The sequence below is a fragment of the Homo sapiens genome, chromosome 6, assembly GCF_000001405.40.
Source record: "Homo sapiens chromosome 6, GRCh38.p14 Primary Assembly".
Classification (NCBI taxonomy): Eukaryota; Metazoa; Chordata; class Mammalia; order Primates; family Hominidae; genus Homo; species Homo sapiens.
Genome location: NC_000006.12, coordinates 41,367,253 through 41,390,343, shown reverse-complemented (window position 1 = coordinate 41,390,343; position 23,091 = coordinate 41,367,253). Strand labels below are relative to the sequence as shown.

At 48.7% G+C, this 23,091-nt stretch overlaps 1 long non-coding RNA gene across 2 annotated transcripts, besides 4 other annotated features; it reads left to right on the top strand.

Annotated features, from left to right (window-relative positions):
* The first annotated feature begins 7,215 nt into the window (after nucleotides 1-7,215).
* Nucleotides 7,216-8,952, top strand: LOC100505711 (uncharacterized). 2 transcript variants are annotated; one of them, XR_108647.3, is made up of 3 exons: nucleotides 7,216-7,276; nucleotides 8,212-8,295; nucleotides 8,398-8,952. It is a non-coding gene; the product is annotated as an uncharacterized LOC100505711 (long non-coding RNA). The 2 variants fall into 2 exon arrangements; XR_002956399.1 differs by lacking the exon at nucleotides 7,216-7,276 and having other exon boundaries at nucleotides 8,158-8,295.
* Nucleotides 15,292-16,243: an enhancer, noted in NCBI's record as "H3K27ac-H3K4me1 hESC enhancer chr6:41341839-41342790 (GRCh37/hg19 assembly coordinates)". NCBI's record gives its function as "activates a minimal SCP1, AML or CMV promoter by ChIP-STARR-seq in naive H9 embryonic stem cells {active_cell/tissue: H9 hESC(naive)}" and the evidence as "EXISTENCE:reporter gene assay evidence [ECO:0000049][PMID:30033119]".
* Nucleotides 18,152-19,105: an enhancer, noted in NCBI's record as "H3K4me1 hESC enhancer chr6:41338977-41339930 (GRCh37/hg19 assembly coordinates)". NCBI's record gives its function as "activates a minimal SCP1, AML or CMV promoter by ChIP-STARR-seq in naive and primed H9 embryonic stem cells {active_cell/tissue: H9 hESC(naive and primed)}" and the evidence as "EXISTENCE:reporter gene assay evidence [ECO:0000049][PMID:30033119]".
* Nucleotides 19,547-19,747: a silencer, noted in NCBI's record as "peak5801 fragment used in MPRA reporter construct". NCBI's record gives its function as "represses an SCP1 promoter by STARR-seq MPRAs in K562 erythroleukemia cells {active_cell/tissue: K562}" and the evidence as "EXISTENCE:reporter gene assay evidence [ECO:0000049][PMID:32103011]".
* Nucleotides 20,385-20,885: an enhancer, noted in NCBI's record as "H3K4me1 hESC enhancer chr6:41337197-41337697 (GRCh37/hg19 assembly coordinates)". NCBI's record gives its function as "activates a minimal SCP1, AML or CMV promoter by ChIP-STARR-seq in primed H9 embryonic stem cells {active_cell/tissue: H9 hESC(primed)}" and the evidence as "EXISTENCE:reporter gene assay evidence [ECO:0000049][PMID:30033119]".

The following is a 23,091-nucleotide window of genomic DNA, read 5'->3' as shown; positions in this document are numbered from 1 at the left end:
TTTGAGACAGAGTTTTGCTCTTATTGCCCAGGCTAGAGAGCAATGGTGTGATCTCGACTCACTGCAACCTCTGCCTCCTGGCTTCAAGCAATTCTCCTGCCTCAGCCTCCTGAGTAGCTGGGATTATAGACATGCTCCACCACGCCCTGCTAAGTTTGTATTTTTAGTAGAGATGGAGTTTCTCCATGTTGGTCAGGCTGGTCTCAAACTCCTGACCTCAGGTGATCTGCCCGCCTCGGCCTCCCAAAGTGCTGGGATTACGGGCGTGAGCCACTGAACCCTGCAACTCACCTATGTTTTAAATGTATTGTCCTACTATCCATTACAACCACCTCTTGATGGGGGCATGGCAAGATTCTAGAAAAGTATGTGGGATAGGGGATATTGTGACAGCCATCTTTGGAAAATACAATTTGCTACAATTTCCTCTTCCTTTCAGTTCTTTCTTTATATTTCTCCTAATAGTCAGTTTTGATCCTCTGGACTAATCCTCTAATTTTCTTATCTATTCTCTGTTATTATCCCTCACTTTATCCTTTTGTTTTACTTTCTAGGAGATTTCATTGACTTCAGCACCAATTCTACTACCGACTTTTACATTTTGACTATCATATAAAATTTGTTCTTTGTTCCTCTTTATTTTTTAAAGTATTGCATTCTTTTTTTATTTCATGAATGTAATATCTTCTGTTATCTTTCTGAAGCTATTCATTGTAATTTCTTTGAATTGTTTTGCTTTCTACAATTGCTACTTTTCTCCATGAGTTCTTTTTCTCTCTCCTTGTTCATTTTTTTCCCTATTATCTTTGAGGTTTTTCTTGAATACTTGATTATTCTTGGGTATTTCTCATTGGAAGTGCATGGGTGGGCTTGTGAGCTGGGGTATCTTGAAAAAGTGGCCAGCCAGCTACTTCTATTGAGATTACCAAATGCCAGTATTTGTTGGTCTTTTCTCTGGGGTCATTTGGTCTCTCCTGAGACGGCTTCTCCCATCTCCTGTGGGGAGCCCAGCTGCTGGTGTCTGGGGCTGAGTGGGGAAGGGTTTGATTTTCCTGTGCCATTTGATGGTCCCATTTTGGAGCTTCCCTGGTTCACTTATTTCATAATTCTGTAACTCCAGAACAAACTCCTGGGCCCCTGAAAGACTGGGGAGGTATGATGGCCTTATTGAGGAAGGAGAAGGTGGGTCCCTAGAGTGGTCTCACTACTCCTCACACAGCAATAATCCCAGCGCAAGACCCTCTGCCTTGCTTTTGCTTTCTGCAATATCTGGTGTCTCCCATTAGTGATTTTTTCCCAGGTTTTCTGTAGCCAATAGGTTTTCCTTTCCTTGATACCACCTGCAGCCACAGGGATTTGACTTTACTCCTCCTTGCTAGCTCATATACCATGTGTCATCTGTTTTCTGTGTCTTATTGTGCTTCAGGGGTTTAGGCATCTTCTAGCTCCACTGAAGATGGAGTCGTATTTCTGTTTTTTTCTTTCTTTGGTACATTGGGTGATATTCAAGAGGAGAAGGGGGCAAAATCTGTAAGAACTTTCTTCTTGAGCCCCAGTGAAGGGGACACCTCAACCAGACCCCTAAGCCTCCTGTGCAGGGTTAGAGTTATCTTCTGAATATCTTATGGGGCTGGTTTAGGTGTCCCCTTATCTGGGGCTCAAGAAGAAAGCCCCCTGTGCATAGAGCACACACTGTTTACCTGACCGTTTTTCTATTAGATTAGGAAAGCCTGCAGAGTACAGACTACTTCTTATCTAACCTTATTTTCCTAGAGCCCAGGAGGGTGTTTGGCACACAGGAAGCCCTCAATACATGTGAATTGATAATGAATGAATAGAAGAAAGCAATTCCAAAAACATGAGCAGTATCAAGAAAAGAAACCTCTGAGAGAAGTTATTTGGTTATTTAGAATTATCTTAAGGCTGGGGCTGAATGGCATAACCCTTAGCAAGTCCCTAAATGTGTCAGCAGAAGCAGTCCAGGCCTTTGCAATTTTAAATTCAGATTGTTAAGTTGGCAGAGGACAGTGCAATGAGGAGAATGGTAGAAGATGAGGTCAGAGGCTCTGTAGTTGGTGACAGTGGATGATGGCTTGGATTAGAAAGGTGGGGATGGAGGTGGTTAGAAGTAGCTAGATTTTGAATATAGTTGGAAAGTAGAGCCAAAGTGATGTGCTGATAAATTGTATTTGGGATGTAGAAAAAAAGGGAAATCAAGGATACCTCCAGAATTTTTGGTCTGAGCAACTGGTTGCAAAGTGCTGCCATTTAAGGAGAAAGGGAAGGACCAAGGTTTCAGAACAAGAGTTCATTCTTAACATGGTAGATGTGGGACATGTGAATGGAGGTGTGGAGAAGGCATGAGACAACAGACAGGAAGACAGAAGCCATGTTTGGGTTGAAGGTATGCATTTGAAAGTCAATAATATAGGGATGGTTTTTAAAACCAGGAGACCAGATAACATCACTGTACTGGGTTGAATAGTGTCTCCTCCAAAATTTATGTCTTATTTGGAAATAGGGTTTTTGCAGGTGTAGTCAAGTTGAGGTCATGCTGGATTGGAATGTGCCCCAATCCAATGACTGTTGTTCTTATAAGAGGAAAGAAATTTAGGCTGGGCATGGTGATTCACACCTGTAATCCCAGCATTTTGGGAGGCCAGGGCGGGAGGATTGCCTGAGCCCAGGAGTTGAAGACCAGCCTGGACAACATAGCAATACTCTGCCTCTACAAAATTTTTAAAAAATAAATTAGTCAGACCTGCTTGCATATCGCTGTAGTCCCAGCTACTCAAGAGGCTGATGGGGGAGGATCATTTGAGCTCAGGATTTTGAGGTTACAGTGAGCTATGACTGTGTCACTGCACTCCAGCCTGGATTACAGAAAAGAGAAGGAGATGGAGAAAGAGAAGGAGGAGAAGGAGTAGGAGGAGGAGAAGAAGAAGGAGGAGAAGAAGAAGAAAAAGGAGAAAGAATTTGGACACAGACACACACAGAAGGAAGATGTAAAAATAGAGGCAAAGGTTGGAGTTACGCTACCACAGACATAAGTGCGAACGATTACCAGCAACCACCAGCAGCTAGAAGAGCTAACAGGAAATTCTTCCCTAGGGCCTTTGGAGGGAGTATGTTGACTTGATTTCAGACTTCTGGCCTCTGGAACTGTGAGAGAATATATTTCTGTTATTTTAAGCCACTCAATGTGGTACTTCATTACAGTAGTCCTAGGAAACTGCTATAGTCACCAAGCCCATGGTATAGATGGTGGGGAGATGAGTGCCAAGGATGCAGCCCTCGTAAACTCCATCCTTTAGAGGTCAGGAAGAAGAGGCAGGTCCTGCAAAAGAGACAGAAAAGGCACAGCCAAGGAGGTAGAAAGAAAACCAAGAGAGTCAGATGCTCTGGAGCCAACATGGACAAAGTATTTCGAGAAGAAAAAAAGCTTAAGGCACTTCAGGTGAGTTGGTTACAATGAGGACTGAGAACTGGTCCTTGGACTTGGCCATGTGGAGGTCACTGGTGACTTTAACTAGCCCAGTTTCAGTGGAATGATTGACATGCATTAGAGAATGGGAGGTGAGGAGGTGCGAAGAGGAAGTAGACAATAACTACTATTGTCCTTGATTTTATAGTTGGCAAAGAGCAAAAATGACTTTTCTGGTATAGCAACTTTGTAAAACAGCCATTACTATTTACAGAAAGATAAACTGAGGCTCAGAAGCATTAAAAGATCTGTCCAAGGCCCCTGGCAGACAGGAACTATAGAAACCTAGATCTTCAGAAACAAAAGTCCATGCTTTTTCCATGTTTCCAAATGGCAGTTGGGATCTGATGAATAAACCTTGGAGAGGGTCGGCACAAAACTTGTTCTTGCCTGCACTCAGATAGCATCAGGGCCTTCCTAGGAAACAACTCCATTTAAAGAAGTATTTCCTCAGCCCTTCCCCTGGGCCAGTCACTCACCCCACCTTGCCCAGTGGGTAAAGGTGCCTCCCTCCTCCTCCCAGGTGAGGGGAGTGAGGGGGTGCACAGGGATGGGGAACCACATGCTAAGTGGCTAGCAAGTCACCTTCTTCTTCTCCATTCTATATCCTCAAGTAGGGGTTGAAAATTCAAATGTCTACTGGGGCTGGGCAGGTAATATACATGAATAAAATGGGCCTGGGATGGGTCAGTGGGAAATGAGTGAGTCTGTGGGTGAACTGGGCATGAAGGTCCCACCTAGGCTGGGTGTGGTGGCTCACATCTCTAATCCCAGCACCTTAAGAGGCTGAGGCAGCCTCCTGTCAACAGAGTGAGATCCTGTCTCTGCAAAAAAATTTAAAAAGAAAAAAAAATAGCCAGGTGTGGTGGTGTGTGCCTGTAGTCCCAGCTACTCAGGAGGCTAAGACAGGAAGATTCCTTAAATCCAGGAGTTGAAAATGCAGTGAGCTATGATTGCACCACTGTACCCTAGCCTAGGTGATAGAGCGAGACCCTGTGTCTAAAAAAAAAAAAAAGGAAAACAAGGCAAGTCCCCACCTAAAGGTGTCAAATTCATGTTTTAAAAACTGGATGTGACACCAAATGCTGGCAAAGGTGTGGAACAACATGAACTCACATCCATTGCTGGTAGGAATACAAAATGGTATAGCCACTTTGGAAGAGCTTGGTAGTTTCTTACAGCACTAAACATGCTCTTACCATACCATCCAGTAATCATGCTTCTTGGTATTAATATAAATGAGTTGAAAACCGATGTCCACACAAAAACCTGCACTCAGATGTTTATAGCAGCTTTATTCATAATTGCCAAAACTTGGAAGCAACCAAGATGTTCTTCAGTAGGCAAATGGATAAACTGTGATGCATCCAGACAATGGAATATTATTCAGTGCTAAAAATAATTGAACTATTGAGCCACGAAGAGCCACGGAGGAAACTTGAAGGCATATTACCAAGTGAAAGAAGCCAGTCTGGAAAAGCTAGATACTGTATGATTCCAACTATATGACATTCTGGAAAAGGCAAAGACATGGAGACAATAAAAAGATCAGTGGTTGCCAGGGATTGGGGTGGAGGGATGAATAGACAGAGTACAGAGGATTTTTAGGGCAGTGAAGCTACTCTATATGATACTATAATGGTGGGTAACATGGCATTATACATTTGTCCAAACCCGTAAAATATTCACCACCAAGAATGAACCCTAACGTAAACTATGGGCTCTGGGTGATAATGACGTGTCACGTAGGTTAGCTGATTGCAACAAATGTGCCACTCCAGTGCAGGATGTTGACAGTGGGGAGGCTGTGTGTATGTGGGGAAGGGGGTAAATGGGAACTCACTGTACTTTCTGCTCAGTTTTGCTGTGAACCTAAAGCTGCTCGAAAAAATAAAGTCCGTTAAAAAAATACCCCAAACCCCAAAAATCTGTGTGTCTGCCAACGAACGTGACCATGATTAAATTTGGTCCTGGCCAGTGTGTGAACTCAGATGCCTTGAGCAACCCCATCAGACCTCCTTTCCAAGGAGATGGGGCTCATTCTGTTACCTTCAGGATGCCCTGACCTGGCATAGATGGGCCCCTGGAGCCTGCCCACATAGCTGAGGTCTAAAAAAGAGCAGGCCCGAGGGCAGAGGAGACACTGTCACCCTACAGCCCTGTCCAGATGTCCACCCTACCCAAGATCTCCACCTGGCTCCTCTTGGCACGTCTTGCCATCAGCCCCTACTGCCATTGTGTCACTGTCATCTACTTGCCTCTCCAGAAGCCCTTTTTTGGCTACCTCAGGAGGGTGATCTGTGTGGGCTGCACCAGTGGCCTCTCTGCACTCTGGCTGAAGACGTAAGAGTGGAGGAGAGTGAGTGAGGGAAGGGGGCTTGGTGCTCTCATTCCTTCCCCACAGGGTTGATTCGGGCGCCACCAAAGATCACAGCTCTCTCAAGGTGGACTTCTGTACCTCCTTCTGGTTCCTTCTCCACACCCTGAAGATAAAGGGGTTGGCTCCAGTTCTCTGCTTTTATAGCCCTGGACACCACAGTATCCTTTGGAGTTTCCCCACACCTGTCCACACCTTTGTAAATAGTCCCTTTTAATAGCATTCCCCCCAAAAATTCATGTCCACCCAGAACCTCAGAATGATACCTTATTTAGAAAGAGCATCTTTGCAGATGTAATTAGTTAAGATGAGGTCATATTGACTTAGGGTGGGCCCTAAATCCAATGACTGTGTCATTAGAAGAGGCTACCTGAAGACACAGGGCCATATGACAATGGAGGCAGAGGTTGGAGTGATGCAGCTACAAGCCAAGGAAGGGCAAGGGTTGTTGGCAGCCACCAGGTGCAAGGAGAGAGGTGTAGGATGGTTTCAGAAGGAACCGACCCTGCTGACACCTTGGTTGTGGATTGCTGGCTTCCTGAAGTCAGAGAGGAATAAATTGCTGTTGTTTTAAGACACATGGTTTGTGGTGATTTGTTACAGCAGCTCCAGGAAACGAATACGCCCTTTATCAAGCTTTCTTCCAGTTCTCCAAACTTGAGTGTGGACACGCCATGTGTTTCCTGTGGGGACCCTGACTGCTATAATTTTCAAGCTTCTCTCAGCTCCCAGGGCTTTCAATTACTCCCCCGTAAGCCCCAAATCCCTGATGCTGATGACCCTCCCTCCTCTGGTCCACACTGCCTTTCCAGCCCTCACACTGCCTGGTTCCCACAAACATGAACCAATGGCCTTAGCCCTGGTTTCTGGTCCTGCTTTGCATTTTTCCCAATAACCTTCGTCTGGTCTCTCCACCCAAATCTCCCTTCCTAAGCTGACCTCTATCTACCCTTTCTCCTCCATCAGGAAGCTTCTGGACTTTCCAGACTGCAGGGAAGGCCCTTGTTAGCACTTGGTGTCAACACACTCCAGCCACCATGTGGGGAGGCGCCCTGGTGGTATTCACACTGGTGTTGGGCTTGTGCTTCTCCCCACCTAGAATGCAAGCCCTGTGAGGACAGGGAGGGTGCCATATTCTTTATTTCAGGTCTCACCATGCTGGGCACACAGGAATGAGTATAAAGAAACAGGTTGACATATTTCTGGAACTCATGCTCTTGGTAGACCACCAGGGAAGAAAGAAGCAAGACCTTCTAGGCTCCTGGGAGAACCTGGAGTCCTCAACTCTGTGACTCAACACAGGGGCCCATGGGGCTTATTAGCACCCACCCATCTGTGACATCATAGGAGGGACAGGAGCCCTAGGCAATATGTATTAAGTAGACTTTCATGAACTCAACGAGATACTGCAAGAGGTGGGAAAAGTGTCCTCTCTCTTTCCAGCTACATCTGTCCTCTCTTCCCTCCCCTTACATGTCAGTTCCCAGCACAGACTGTGTAGAAGAGTGAGTCTAACTAGCTCTCCTACTTGAGGTGTGTGCTGGAAAAAAAGGATGTTGGAGAGCTCTGTTCTCCAGCCTGAGGAAATCAGACGTCTCCTTGCTCTTCAACCTCCCCTGCCTTCCCTGTGGACTCCTCTGGCTCCCTGATATTCCTAGCCATCATCTGCTCTTCTCTATGTCTCAGTTTCCCCACTTCTCTTCTCTTTTTATTTTCTTTTTTAAATTTTTATTTATTTATTTCTTGAGACAGAGTCTCACTCTGTTGCCCAGGCTGGAGTGCAATGGTGTGATCTCGGCTCACTGCAACCTCCACCTCCTGGGTTCAAGCAATTCTCCTGCCTCAACCTCCTGAGTAGTTGGGATGACAGGCATGTGCCACCACACCCAGCTAATTTTTGTAATTTTAGTAGAGATGGGGTTTCACCATGTTGGTCAGGCTGGTCTCGAACTCCTGACCTCAGGTGATCTGCCCACCTGGGCCTCCCAAAGTGCTGGGATTATAGGTGTGAGCCACCACGCCCGGCCTCTTTTTATTTTATTTTATTTATTTATTTTGAAACGGAGTCTTGCTCTGTCACCAGGCTGGAGTGCAGTGGCAGGATCTCGGCTCACTGCAACCTCTGCCTTCTGGGTTCAAGTGATTCTCCTGCCTCAGCCTCTTGAGTAGCTGGGACAATTTACGTGAGCCACCATGCCCAGCTAATTTTTGTATTTTTTGTAGAGGCGGGGTTTCACCATGTTGGCCAGGATGGTCTTGATCTCTTGACCTCGTGATCTGCCTGCCTTGGCCTCTCAAAGTGCTGGGATTATAGGCATGAGCCACTGCGCCCGGCCTCTTCTCTTTTTAGATAAAATAATGAGATGCTACGTCATAGGATCTGTCTCTGAGTCCACATTGTGGGAGAAAAGACCATTCTTCGGAAAGATGCAGAGTGAGTGAGTGTGATATTGAGGTGGGAAGTGCTTCCCCTGCATCTCTTGTTTCTCTTCTTCTGAGTCCCTTGTCATCTGATCTGAATTTTCTCCCTTTTTAGGGAAGCCCCGTACCTCAAGGGATTGAGATGGGAGACTGAGGGAATCCTGGGGTCTCTGCCCTCTCCCTCACTGGGAAACAAGCTCTGTTTCTTCATGTGCTGGAGCCCTGCCTCTGTGGGTGCAGCCTGAGGACAAAGGCAGTGCTGCATCCCCTGATCCCCTGCCCCCTACAACCTCCTGCCCAGCCTCTTGGGTGCTCCTCAGCTTGTCGTCAGGGAGGAAGCAGCCATCTCCTCCGATGACTGACTTCAAGCCTCAACTCTCCCACAGCTTCTCAAAAGCCAAGGCTGAGGCCAAGTCCTAGCTGCTGCCTTGGGACAGGTCAAGGGCCTCCTGCAATCTCATGCACAAACTGGTACCCATGAGCATGTGGCCTAAGAGATTTATTGACCCCTCTCCAAGTCCTTGCCAGAGGAATCCTGCACACCTATATCCACAATGAAGGGAGCCATATCCCCAGCTGGGTAGCCATATCCCTAATGATATCACTTATGAAAGGTGACAAGTCCTTTCTACCACTCTTATTTAAGTGAAAATATATTTAGTCAATTATGGTCTTTCTCTTGTGTCTACTGAAAGCATGGTAAGAGTCTGTTTTAACTGAGAATATTTTTTATCTCCTCATTCTACTCCCAAATGAGTTTTTCAGGGTCCCGTGGTCTTGATGGTCTTTCAACTATAGCTGCCTATAAACCCTGTACATAGGGGACACTATGACCCTTGGATCTTTTTCTATAATGTCCATGTTCCAGTGAGCCATAGAGCCAGATCCACTTGAATTCAATTTCCAAAAACAAACCTGCTGGGATTTTGATTGGAATTGTATTGAATCTATGCATTCGTTTTGAGAACTGACATCATTATAATATGAGCCTTCCCATTTGTGAACATGGTATAACCCTACATTTATTTAGGTCTTTAAGTTCCCTCAATAATGCTTTGTAGTTCAGTGTAGAGGTCTTGCACATTTTTCATTTGATTTATTCCTAGGCATTTGATGGGCTTTGCTGCTATTGTAAATTGTATTTTTAGAAGGGATTTTCATAAGCACTAGTGATTGGTAGTGTAGGAAGGAGAACCCCAGCAATACCTGCCCTTCATCTTTAAAGAAATCCAAGCTTATGGAGATATAATTCATATTCCATACAATTCACCCATTTAAAGTATACACTTCAATGGTTTTTAGAATATTTGTAGGTATGTGTAACCATCACCACTGTCAATTTTAAAACATTTTCATCACCTTAAAAAGTAACCTCATGCCCTTTAGCTATTACCCACCTATTGCATCTGTTACAGTCTGAATACGTCTCCCCTCTAAATTCATATGTTGAAATCCTAACCCTCAAGGTGATGGCATTAGGAGGTGGGGCCTTTTAGGAGGCGATTAGGTCATGATAGCAGAGTTCTTGTGAATGGGATTAGTGCCCTTATAAAAAAGGCCCAGAGAGTTACTTTACCTCTTCTAGCAAGTGAGGACACAGTGAGAAGTCTCCACCTGGAGAAAGTGGGCCCTCACCAGACACCAAATCTGCTGCTGCCTTCATGCTGGACTTCCCAGCCTCCAGAACTATGAGAAATAAATTCCTGCTGCCTATAAGCCACCCAGTCTATGGTATTTTGTTACAGCAGCCCAAATGAACTAAGACAGCATTTAAAAAGAATAATTTCATTTTCTAATTTTTGTTGCTGTTATAGATAAATATAATTTATCTTAATGCATCAATCTTGTATTAAAAAAACTTGTATTTAGGCTGGGCACAGTGGCTCATGTCTGCAATCCCAGCACTTTGGGAGGCCGAGGTGGGCAGATCATCTGAGGTCAGGAGTTCAAGGCCAGCCTGGCCAACAAGGTGAAACCCCATCTCTACAAAAATACAAAAATTAGCCAGGCATGATGATGGATGCATGTAATCCCAGCTACTCAGGAGACTGAGGTGGGAGAATTGCTTGAACCCAGGAGGCGGAGGTTGAAATGAGCTGAGATCACGCCATTGCACTCCAGCCTGGGCAACAGAGCAAGACTCTGTCTCAAAAAAAAAAGCAAACAAACAAAAACAACAATAACAACAACAAAAATCTTATTATTTAGTGACTTGGCTAAATTCACCATTAATTCCAGTAGTTTGCAGATTATTTTGAATTTTCTATTTATATAATCATATCATCTATGAATAATATTTCTCCTTTCCCTCTACCAATCCTTAAATCTTTTATTTCATTTTCTTGTCTTATTGTCCGGGCTAGGATATCTAATACAATGTTAAATAGAAGTGTTGATACTGGATATTGTATCTTCTCCTGATAGAAAGGAGGAAACTTTCACTATTTCATCATTAAGCATAATTATTGCTGTAGGAGTTTGTAGATAGTCTTTATCAGATTGAGGAAGTTCCCTCTAAGTGTACTATGTTTATCATGAATGGCCTACTAAGTTCAAATCCTGAATCTGACACTTATTAGTCATTCTACTTTAGGGAAGTCACTTGCCTTCTCTGAACTTCAGTTTCTCCATCTTAAACTGCAGATTTCTATCTTAAAAGTTCTTGTGAAACTGAGGACATTTATAAGGGACACCCAACCCATAGTAGGTGCTCAGTTAAATGCCTGGCATTACATTGTTTTATTTATCATCCTTCTCCCCCAGTATATATGCCCCATGAGGGTTCGCTTTGCCTCTGTTGTTCATTACTGTATCCCTAGTATTTAGAACAGTGCCTGACAAATAGAATTTGCTTCTGGAAAAAAATGTGATTAACCAATGTAAATTTCCTTTTTTCTGGAATGCTATGTCTATTAGGCATGATTTTAGAACCAAGAATTATACTTACCCCTAGACAATCACATTGTTCTATTGAACACTTCCAAAGTTCGGTGCTGACTTTCCTTTTTGACTATTAACATGTGTCATATTTTCCGCTTCTAGATCATTTAATCCAGATTTGCAATCCCTTCTCCCCTAACTTTCTGTACACCAAGAACAGAGCTCAAGGGTAGAGTCTCAGCACTCCCAGCTGCACTGCATGACAGTAGACAAGTCCCTTCCCCTTCTGAGCCTCTGGGAGAGGGTCAGATGCCTCCAACTTAGGGGTTTCCTCCAATTGTGGTTCCAAGGCACACGCGATGCTGTGGCCTTGTAAATCTCCTGAGAATCTGCCTTGCTTTTTCCAAGTATCTCTTGAGAACAGGAAATAAACCACCCCCCACAAATTCTGAAATCAGGGAGGTGAATGAGGAGCTTGCAGCCTGAGGGATGAAGACTAGAACAGGGACTCCTCTGGTCACTTCCAATGCTACCTACCCTCAGTTCACATCAGAAATTCCAGAGCACATCTTTCTCCCCTCCTGGGGAATGTTCTCCCTTTGCCACCGAATCCCTTCTGTCCTCCACATCAAGGGTTCTTAACCTTGGCATCACTGGCATTTTGGGCTGGAAAATTTCTTTGTTGTGGAAGCTGCTCTGTGCATTATAGGATACACACTCACCCCAACTCATACTCACCATCCTCTTGTCTGAACTCTGAGCAGCCCAAACCAGACTTACCACCATACCAGGTGGAAATAGTGGCTAACATTTATGGGCACTACTCTCATGAGAAGGTTCCGTCTGTGAGAAAGTGGGTCCTCACCAGACACCAAATCTTCTGGTGTCTTGATGCTGGACTTTCCAGGCTCTAGAACTGTAAGAAATAAATTTCTGCTGCCTACAAGCCATCCAGTCTATGGTATTTTGTTACAGCAACCCAAATGAACTAATACAGCATTTAAAAGGAACAATTTCATTTTCCATTTTTTGTTGCTGTTATAGAGAAATATATTTATCTGGTGTAATCCTCACAACATCCCCGTGAGTAAATATTAGCATTTTCCTCTCCATACTCCAGATAAGGATACTGAGGCTCAGAGATGTGAAGTCACTTGTCCAAGATTACATAGATAGTAAGTGGTGGAGCTGGGATTTGGCCCCAGCTGTCAGGTTCACCTGACAGAGGCATAAACCACTACTCATTCTATTCCATTAGATATCTCCTCCGTGATTTCCTGGGTGTCTATCTGCCTCCCAAACTTGATTGCAAATCTTTGAAGGCAGGGGCTAAAATATATTCACAGATACTTTACAGTGTTGAACACAGGGGAAGAGGGCCAAACATGATTCATTGATTGATTTCCTGCTACTGTAGAGTTTGCAGCATTAGAATATGTGAGCGTATGAATGAGATTGAGGACTAGGGAGAAGAAATTTCCAATTTCAGGCTTTAATAATTATAAATTCACAAAATGCACTTAATATAGGTACCCATCTCAATGAATTTGCATAATCTGAACACACTTGTGTAACTACATCAAGAATCAGAAGACCACCATTGGCCCAGAAACCTCCTTCATAATCCCTTTTAGCCATGCCTTCTCTAAGTAACCATGATTCTGCTTTCTAATAGCATACATAGATTTATTTTGCCTGTTTTTGTACTTTAAATAAATGGAACCACAGAGAATGTACTTTCGGGTCTGATTTCTTTTTCTTTTCCTTCTTCTTTTCTCTTCTTTCTTTCTTTTTCTTAAAGACAAGGTCTCACTCTGTTGCTCAGGCTGGAATGCAGTGGGTGCCATGACAGTTCACTGCAGCCTCGACCTCCTGGGCTCAAGTGATCCTCCCATCTCAGCCTCCCCAGTGGCTGGGACTACAGATGCTCTAATTTTTGTACTTTTGTAGAGACAGGTCTTGAATTCCTGGGCTCAAGCGATCTGCCCGCCTCTGCCTCCCAAAGTGCTGGGATTATAGTTGTGAGCCATTGAGCCAGGCCAGGTCCAGTTTCTTTTGCTCAGCATGAGAGTCATCTATGTGGTTACATGTAGCATAGCTCATTCTTTCTCTTTTCTATATAGTATTCCAGTGTGTAACTATATCACAGCTAATTTCATAGCTAATGGACATTTGGTAGTTTGCAGTTTGGGGCTATTGTGAAGAGTACTGTGTAAACATTTTTTTGTACATGTCCTTTGGTGAGCATAGGACAGCATTTCTGTTGGGACAATGCCTGCCAGTGGAACTGCTGGGTCATAGGGTATGCATGCTTCAGTTTTAGTAGACACCACCAAAGTTTCTCAGTTTTTATATTTGGAGGCTTTTAAAGCCAACATTGATTTCTACCCCTCCTCAGGCTGCTTTCCTGAAGAGCAGTGGTATGGCCTCTCTGGAATCTTCCAGATGACCACATCTGGCAAGAACCTTCTTTACAGAAAAAATGATGTGAGATTAAAGGGAACGCATATATCTCAAGTCCAAGGCTTTCATTATGCACAAGGAGAAACAGAGGCTCAGAGACAAGAGCTGACTGGTCCAAGGTGGTGTGGTTCTACCTGGCCTAGAAGCCAAGCTTCTGGACTCCGGATCTTCATAATGCTTTTTTGAGTACCTGAAGAGAGATACTCATTGCAAAGACGATGGGGTGGAACTAGAGGCTGGTCGGACCCACCAGGATTGTAAGTGAAATATGAGGGTCCGGGGTGGGGGAGGTGGGGCTGGTGGCTGTCTTGTTCCCTATATTTTCCTTGAGTCTGGGCTAAAGCCAAGAAAAACACAAGCCTGGCTCCGCCTCCCACTAGGGGAAGTCAAAGTGAGGGGCTTTAAAATTAAAGTCTGGAAAATCTTCCACCTCACATCCTTCCTCCAGTCCAGGGAGAGGAGGGGGTGGTCTGTTGGCAGTAGGGACAGGGGTTCCAGGGTCTGGAAACAAGATGGGCTCTCCACTCAAGGGGCTCACAATCTTTGGTAAAACCAGACAGGCCTTGGGCGTAGAGAAAAACCCCATTTATTGCGTTCTGAAATTCCATCCGCCAGGAGCCTGGCGCGAGCCTTAAGCCAACCTCCAGCGGAAGAAGTTAATCCCGAGCCACTCCCAGCTCCAGCCTCGGTCCTTACCTAGTACCCCAGACCCAACCCTATTCTGTAGCCCTCAGATTTCCGCAGCCTGGCCTCCGCCTCGGCGTCCACGTTCGCCTTGTCTGAAAGTCGCGTTCCATTTTCAAAGAAGCGGTTTAAGCCGACCAGGTCCCAAGGGGATAAAAGACATCTCACCACTCTGCCCCAACTTCCCTCATCTCACACCCCCTCCCCAGGCCTGGAGGCCCTCGCCAGGTAAATGAGACCTAGGAGCGAGATAAAAGAGGGGTTGCATTTCTTTGCAAACTCTTCTGGCTTCCCCCCCGACCTCCCCCTCGTCGCTCCCCAACCAGCTGCCTTCCCGCCCCGGCTCCCGCTCCGGGCTGGGGCGCCAACTAAATCTGATCAAAATGCAATTGCCAAGTCGTTAAGGTATTTGAATTAAAAAAAAAAAAAACTCCCGAGAAAGAAAGTATTTGATGGCTAATAATCTCATTTCAATATAATGGGACCTTCTTCTGCAGAGAGCAAGACAGGTTAAGAGATATAATTATGACTTTGCAAACTCTCTCCCAAGCGCGTGAGACGCGCTGACAGGTCTGCGCGCGGCTGCGCCTGGCTCCGCTCGCTCCAAGGGGAGACGCTTTGTCTGCAGGGCCCGTTAAAGAGACATGGTCCCTTTTCCCCCCCTCGGCCTACACTGCAATTTAACTGTCAGCCGCATTCTCGCTCCGGGATCAGTGTCTGAGTCCCACGCGAGAGTGGGGGTTGGGGTGAAAGAGGGGGACCGGACTTGGAGGAGGGGGATAGGAGGACAGCGAGGGGCTGACCTGTCAAACACTGTCCATGGAACCCGGAGCTGGGCTTTCAAATCTGTTCCCTCGGGAACTCCTTGAGGTCCCGTCTACACAGCAGGGTCTAGGAGGGGCAGTGATGAGGAGCGAGGGGTTGGGAGTAGGGGAACGACTCAGGCAGCGCAGATTTATCACCGTCTCCAAAGTGGCGCTTTTTGAAGGACCCAAGAGGAAAGGATTCCTTCCTGCCATAATTGCTGGGTTTCAGCTGGCAAAAAGGAACCGATTTAGGAAGCTGGGAAGAGATGGTGGCGGTGGTGTTCATGTCTACTTTTTTTCTACTTTTAAAGAAAACTTCTTTAAAAAGAAAACTACAATGGGGGAAAAAATCCCCATATGACGCCCGGGTAGGGAATCTTTGAGGAAAGTGGAATTCTCCCGAGCTTACATCTTGCCCCTTCACGAAAGTGCGAGAAGGGAATCTCTAATGCGGTGTATACGTGTGTGCAGCGGGAGGAGTGGAGGCCAGCGAGCGGCCCCGTACTGAGCTGGTATTGATTGCAGCTCGGGTGGACAGACTGCGGGAAAGTCAGGGCCTGGAGCTCCAGAGGTGTTGGAGCCCCGGCAGCAGAAGAGCTGCGCAGTGCCGCCGCGCAGAGGGACCCGGAGAGCGGGCTGGGAAGTCTAGGCGAGTGCGCACGGGTGTGAGCATCGCTCCAGGGAGAGCGCTCGGCTCCCAATCCCGCGAAGTAATTGGGAGCTGGAAAGCTCAGGCAGGGACGCAGGGAGACTGCACTTAAGCCGTCAGACACGCTTATCCCGCGAAAAAGAGCTGGGAATAAAGAGGACAGGAAGCCCGCGTGGTCCGCGTCTTCGCCTGCCCCCGACTCTCTCGAAGCCAATCGGAGCTTTACGCCTGGCACATCCTACCGCCTTCGGTGCGGCCCAGCGTTGCGATGCAGGAATTCGGAGGAAGCGGGTGCGCCGCCGCTCCTCCCAACACTCTGGGCACCGAGGCTCGAGCACCCTCATCCCCAGTGGTGGCCTGGAGGACGCTGGCCACGTGTCCTAGAAGAGGGGTGAGGCCATGGAAAGTCCCGAGGCCCCTGCAACTGGCTAGGCGCCCCCTACCACCCCTCCCCCAGCCACACGGCGTAGCTACCCCATCTCCAGTGGTGAGGCCCTCTTGCCGAGGTCCCAGGATTTCTTCGCTCTGCGCCCGGGACTGTTTCTGACTCCTTCCCGCTTTGCGCACGCACGTGCAGCCACCGCGACTCTCTCGAGTCATTCGCGCAGCCGTACAAACGAGGGTGGCGCTGTCGCGTCCTGCGTGGACTGCGCGCAGGGCTGCGTTTTCTCGAAGTGAAGTTTGGACGCGAATGGGGTCAACTGCATCCGCCGGTCGGCTCACTCTGCTGGTCCCGGACGCAGGCTTCTCTGCCGCGGAAGATCCAGGGAAAACTAGCTCCCGCACCAGGAGCGAGGCTCGCCTGGTCTGTCCAGGTGGACACCCCCACTCAGCATAAGCTACCCCTTCACCCTCTGTGGGCCCACGGTGGCCACACCGTGCCGGATCAGGTCAGGCCTTCCGCAGTGGCGCCCGTAGTTGTCCCGGCCGCACCCTGCAGGGTGAGCAGGGGTCCTATCTGGAAGCAGCCCCCCACGCCCGATCCACTAGAGGATAGTTCGCTAAGGCAGGTTTCTGTCGTTCCCAGTGCATTTTTTTTTTCTTGGTGTTGAGTGATCCCAGCGCGCGGTCGCCGCAGGGAAGCGTTGCTCGCAGGAGCCCGGTGGCCTCGAGGGCGCAGGAGGGCTGGGGATCCCAGGGTGGCGGTTCGGGATGGGGCCGAGACCGCTGGGGGGAGGGGGCAGGAAGGGCGCCGAGGACCGCTGGCGGAGGTCCCGGCCCGGTGGGGGGCGCTGGGGATGGCGGGCGCAGGCCCAGCGCGCCGACTGCGGGGTCAGGGGCGAAGGGGCAGGCGGAGGGCAGCGCGCGGGGAGCCGGCGCGGCGGCTCGGGTTACCGCGGCCCGACCCTGCCACCCGCAGCTCCGGCGCGGGGGCTGGGGCGGACTCCGGCCGTACCCCGCTGTTTGCATTTCTCTGGCAGGCGGCGGAGCTTGGGTTGAAAGGAATCGCCTTCATTTGGAACGTTGTTTATTTTTCTTAACTAGCCAGCGCCGACGGACGACCCCGCGAGCACGGAGGCCGGACCCGGCCGATCCAGCGCTAGAAAGGGGTCAGGACTGGGGGCGGCCAGGCGAGGTGGTGCTGCGAGCGCCCGCACTGGGAATGTGCCCCGGTGCCCCAGCGGCCGGGATGGGGGAAGGGTCGTGGCGGGCCCAAGGACTTTCTACCACGTAGGAAAACAGACTTTCTCCTGCCAGAGTTATCATACCTTAGCTTTGACCTTGCCTGAGCCGGGGCAGCGAAGCGGTTAAGCTCTTTGGGTTTGGTGTTTGGTCGCCTTGGGTTTCAGTTTCTCCTCCTCGGTTTTTAGCTCCACGACCTTGGTCAAGTCACCTTTGTGACTCAGTTTCCTCGACTCTCAAATGGGTATAGTATAGTGCTTTGCTCCTTGAGTTGCTGTCAGGATTAGATGAGACAATGCACCCTAGCGCAGGAGATGGAACTTGCCAAGTGCTTAGGAGACGTCAATTCATTTTGTGGGGGCTGTGGCGCAGGGTAGGTGGGGTGGGGGTAGCCAGCAAGCGTGGGGCCCACAGAGAAGGGGCTTGAGCTGGAAACCCATGACTCCCAAGCTCTGGGGAAGGTGCGGGCTGGGGAGAGTTCTGAGCGTTTTGACATGAAATGAATAAAATGCAAATGATATTCAAAGCAAGATGCTAATGAGGATCTATTCTTTGAGCGTCCACAGCCCCGGCAGTGCCCATAATAGTGGCGGGGCTGGTGTGAACTCGAGGATGGGCAGGGCCCTGCAGTGTCTCGAGTGTGTGTGTGTGTGTGTGTGCGTGTCAGCGCGCGCCTCCTCCGGAATGTGCGTAGCCGGCTCCGGGTGTGCTCGCGCCGACATGAAAATGAGGTCAGGGAAGGTCGTTCCACTCTGCAGCATAAATCAAGGAGGAGAGGAGAATGGATGTGAGAGACAGTCCCCGGAGACCGCCCCGAGAGAGGCAGAGCGAGGGAAGAAGGAGGAGAGAAAAGTTCTGCGTAGAATAGGCGAGAAGCGGGCCCAGGCGCTCTCCCTCCCCGAGCTTCCCGCCCCGATGGCTGAGCCGCGGCAACACCGCGTCCTTAAGCCCCATCCTCCTCCCCCATCTCCTAAACCTTTAACTCTTTTTTCTTTCTTTGCCCCCAAACTTAAATGTTCCTCCTCTAAGCGCTCTTTGTGTGAACAGTGAAGCTCCTGCCCCCAGCCTCCCCGGGAACGTGTAAGTGCCCACGCGCACACACCAGTCGCACGCGCAATCGCACACTTGTTACACGACTGCTCAAGCCGGGGCTCGCGGGGGAGTCCTGCGGGGATCAGAATAAAATGTTCCAGAGAGGGCTGCTTTCCGCCGTCCCCCTGCCCGGCTACTGCGGCCCGGGTGCGTGCTTTCTCCACGCAGTCCGCGTCTGTGGCCTCCCCAACACTCTGCTACCGTCGTCCCCCGGGCTCTTCCTGCTCTTCGCCCTCCGCCGGCCGCCCAAGGAACACGCAGCTCCAAGCCAGTACTTCCCTGTGCGCTGTCCTGAGACTCCTCTGGGGATATCGGGAGGTTCCGGCTGCCCTAGGCCGGAACACAGGCACAAGTCCGGGGCGATCGCTCTCTGGGGAAGCAGGGCCAGCGTCCCAGAGCCCAGGGTGAGAGAGGGAGAGGGATGTCGGTCTAACTACCCAGCATCTTCAAGACACCAGGACACTAGGACCAGAGGGAAGGATGCAGGGAGCAGGGCTGGGGAAGAGGAAGCAGTGCATAGAGGAGGCTGTCCCGTCTCTCTCTCTCTTTCTCTCTCTCTCTCTCTCTCTCTCTGTGTGTGTATGTGTGTGTGTGTGGGGGGGGGGTGGGGGTTCCTACTGCCACTCCAAGAATGGGGAGAAAGCAATGAAGAGATGAGCTGCGCCTACGGTCTGTGCTCTGGGCCCAGATCAGACTTACCTGCTGCCGTATTCTCTTCACCACAATGAATAGCAGCAACAAGATGATGCTGAATGCCACACAGTAGGCACAAAATAAGCGCACAATACATATTGAATTAAATTTACCAACAGCTGTCACTATCACGATCCTTCCTGAGTCTCCACAGCTTGTAGATTAATTAAGTCATTCACTCATTCCACAAATACTTAGCAAGTACCTATTAAATGACTGAGCAACAGGAAGACAAGATCCCATCCCTCAGGGCGCTTATACATTCCTGGGTCAGAAAGACAGGAAACAGATAAACACAGTCACACAACATGGTATCAGGCAGGACAGCCCTTTGTGCTGTGAAGGAAAGATGAAGTGGGCCAGAGAGGAACTTGGGGAGGAGACAGAGACCCAGAAGAGAATGAGCCATGCAGACTTCTGAAAGGGCAGGGTCCCCGCGGAGGGAACTGCAAATGCAGTGGCCTAAGATGTGGAAAGTGCCTGGAATGGAGCTCAAAAAGGAGGAGAGAGGGTGGAGGTGAAAGGGAGGGTCAATGGAAAGTCAGGAGGGTCAGATTCTGTAGCGTTTTGTAGGCCATGATGAGGGAGAGAGTGTCTTGAATTATATACTAGGTGTGATGGGAAGCCAGTGGATTTTTTTTTTTTTTTTTAGATGGAGTCTCACTGTCTCCCAGGCTGGAGTGCAGTGGGGCAGTCTCGGCTTGCTGCAGCCTCCACCTCCTGGGTTCAAGTGATTATCCTGCCTCAGCCTTCCCAAGTAGTTGGGATTACAGGCACCCGCCACCAGGCCCGGCATTTTTTTAACAAAAATTTTTTTCAGTAGAGACGGATTTCACCATCTTGGCCAAGCTGGTCTCAAACTGCTGACCTCAAGGGATCCTCCCATCTCAGCCTACCAAAGTGCTGGGATTAGAGGCATGAGCCACCGTGCCGGGCTGGAATATTTTTTTAAAAAGAGAACGATGTGGGTCAAGTGTGGTGGTTCATGCCTGTAAACCCAGCACTTTGGGTGGCCGAGGTGGGAGGATCACCAGCCTGGGCAATCTAAGGAAATCCCATCTTTACAAAAACTAAAAGGTTAGCAGTCATGGTGGTGCGCATCTGTAGTCCTAGCTATACTGAGGAGGCTCAGGTGGGAGGATCGCTTGAGCCCAGGAGGTCAAGGCTGCAGTGACCTGTGATTGTGCCACTGCATTCAGCCTGGGCAATGGTAAAACCCTGTCAAAAAATGCAATTTTTGTTTTCAAAAACGATAAACAAAGACTAGAGAATTTAATTTATCCATGGGTTTCAGGTTTGAGTATATATATTTTTTTATTTTTGAGACGGAGTCTTGCTCTGTCGCCCAGGCTGGAGTGCAGTGGCACAATCTCGGCTCCCTGCAACCTCCGCCTTCCGGGTTCAAGCGATTCTCCTGCCTCAGCCTCCCGAGTAGCTGGGACTACAGGCACCCACCACCACGGTGGGCTGATTTTTGTATTTTTAGTAGAGACAGGGTTTCACCATGTTGTCCAAGCTGGTCTTGTACTCCTGACCTCAGGTGATCCGCCCGCCTGGGCCTCCCAAAGTGCTGGGATTTACAGGCGTGAGCCACCGCGCCCGGCCCAGGTTTGAGTATTTCTTAATCAATGATCTCCAAATGTTTCCCAGTCCAATGCGTTAAATATGAACGCTTAGGCAAGATTGCTCCGGAAGGCCCGGGAAATACTTGACCGGCTTATGCCCCTCCCACCCCTACTTTTGAGGAAGGTGCCCGGAATGGGACATGGATAGGGTCCCGGAATTGGCCTTCTCCGGAATCGGAATCTGAGCGAGGACTCCGGGATCCCCAGCCTGAGGACCTCCGGCGTTTCCACTCCCTGGCTCCCCGTCCCACCTGTTGCCTTTGCTATGCCTACCCTGGTTCTTTTTCGTGCTATGGAGACAGCGTGGGCAACTCCAGCGCAAGAAGGTAAGATCCGGTGTCTCTCTGGCGCTCCAATTCTGGCGCTCCAATTCCGCTGCTCCTTAGGCGGAGGAATTCTCTCCTTTCCCCCAGTGAGTCTAGTTGTGGGCAAAGCAGGCTCCGTGGTCCCACACCGCCTCCTGGTGGTTATGAAGGATACTGCAGCCGGGGTTGATACAAGATACAGAACTTTTCCAGCGCCGACAGGGGGCGCAGGAAAAGGCTTACGGATTGCCTGGCAGGTGCCAGGTGTTTTGCACGGCGTCTCACTTACTTTATTTAATCAATAGAGTAACTCCAGAAGAGAGAACTGTCATTTCCCATACTATCCAGATAAGGAAATTGGGGCTAAGAGAGGCAATGCACTTCGATTAAGAACATAGAGCTAGTAAAATTGCAGAGTGATTCTCTCACATTCACACCATCTCTTGGTGCACAGAGTGTGAGAAGAGTAAAATATTGGCTTCCATCCTAGGCCAGGAGCTCTCCCTCTCCTTGGCTCTGAAGAATCATCTAGAAAATACCTTTAGCTGATGTACTGAGCTCCCAAATTAGTCTCTGGGAATGTTCCAAGGTCCTTTCTCATTCTCCATTTGAGCCCATTTCAGATGGGTTCATGGGCCTGCAGGTTGAGACCGGTTCAGGGACAGCTGGGAAACTCTATCATGCATGTTGCATGGATGGGGAGTTAGAGGTCTCTGTCCTTTCTCTGGGATTCAGGCTCCTTGAGCAATCTTATCCCTGAAGGTGAAGAACAAGGTGCTTTGTTCTGAGTGGGGCACTCCTGCGACCTCAGATACTCAGACAGAACAAACGAAGAGCATGGAATGGGTGACCACACTGAGTCGACCTCAGTTCTTCTCCATCTTTAATCCCAAGGTCAGGAGACCTCTGCTTGGCATAGGGCTCTTTCCTTCGTGTTTCATTTTCATTAATTAATTTAGAGGAGTGCAGTGACACAATCATGGCTCATTGAAGCCTCAAACTCCTGGGTTCAAGTGATGGTCCCACCTCATCCTTCTAAGTAGGACTACAGGTGTGCACCACCATACCCAGCTAATTTTCAAAATCTCTGTAGAGATGGAATCTCGCTATGTTGCTTGGGCTGGTCTTGAATCCTAATTCCTGGCCTTAAGCAATTCTCCAGTCTCAGCCTCCCAAAGTGCCAGGATTAGTGGCTTGAGCCACTGAGCCCAGCTGGGCTCCCTCTTTATCAGGCATTGGAAATGCTCAAGCTGCTTTTGCACCTGCAGTGGTCAGGCTGGGGAAAGGTCTCTGGGCAGAGCCCCTCCCCTTCTCCTGCCTGAGATTCCACCCACTCCAGTGCAGAGCTGAGAACCATTCTCCATCCTCTGCTGCTCCCTAGTGGGCTGGGATGCAGCTGTCACTGGTCTCCTTCCCACTAGGCTGCGGCCACTTTCTGCCTTCTCTCCTTCCTTCTCCAGAGGGATGCTCCTTCTAGAGACAGCAGGTGTCCTGGAAGAGAGATGTGAAACTTCGGGAAAGATCTGGCTGCAGAACATCCTGGAATTGTGTCCGCATAAACCCAGGGTCATTGCCCCCACCAAACGCTGAATGCCCTGTGAGGAGCCAGAGGAGCCCCCATTTAGCGTGATGGATTCATATTTTAAAAGTAAAAAAGACAGACACAAAATGACTTTGACAATCAATTTTTAAAGCTGTTAACTTTTAAATAATTATAGATTCATAGTGTCCCAATCCATTTGGTGTTGCTGTAAAGGAATACGTGGGACTGGGTACTTTATAAAGAAAAAAGATTTATTTGGCTCACAATTCTGCTGGCTGGAAGATTGGGCATCTGGTGAAAGCCTTAGGCTGCTTCCATTCATGGCAGAAGGCAAAGGGGAGCCAGTGTTTCCAGAGATCACATGGTGAGAGGGGAAGCAAGACAAGGAGGGAGGTGCTGGACTCTTTTAACAATCGGCGCTTTCGGGGACTAATAGAGTTAAGTAC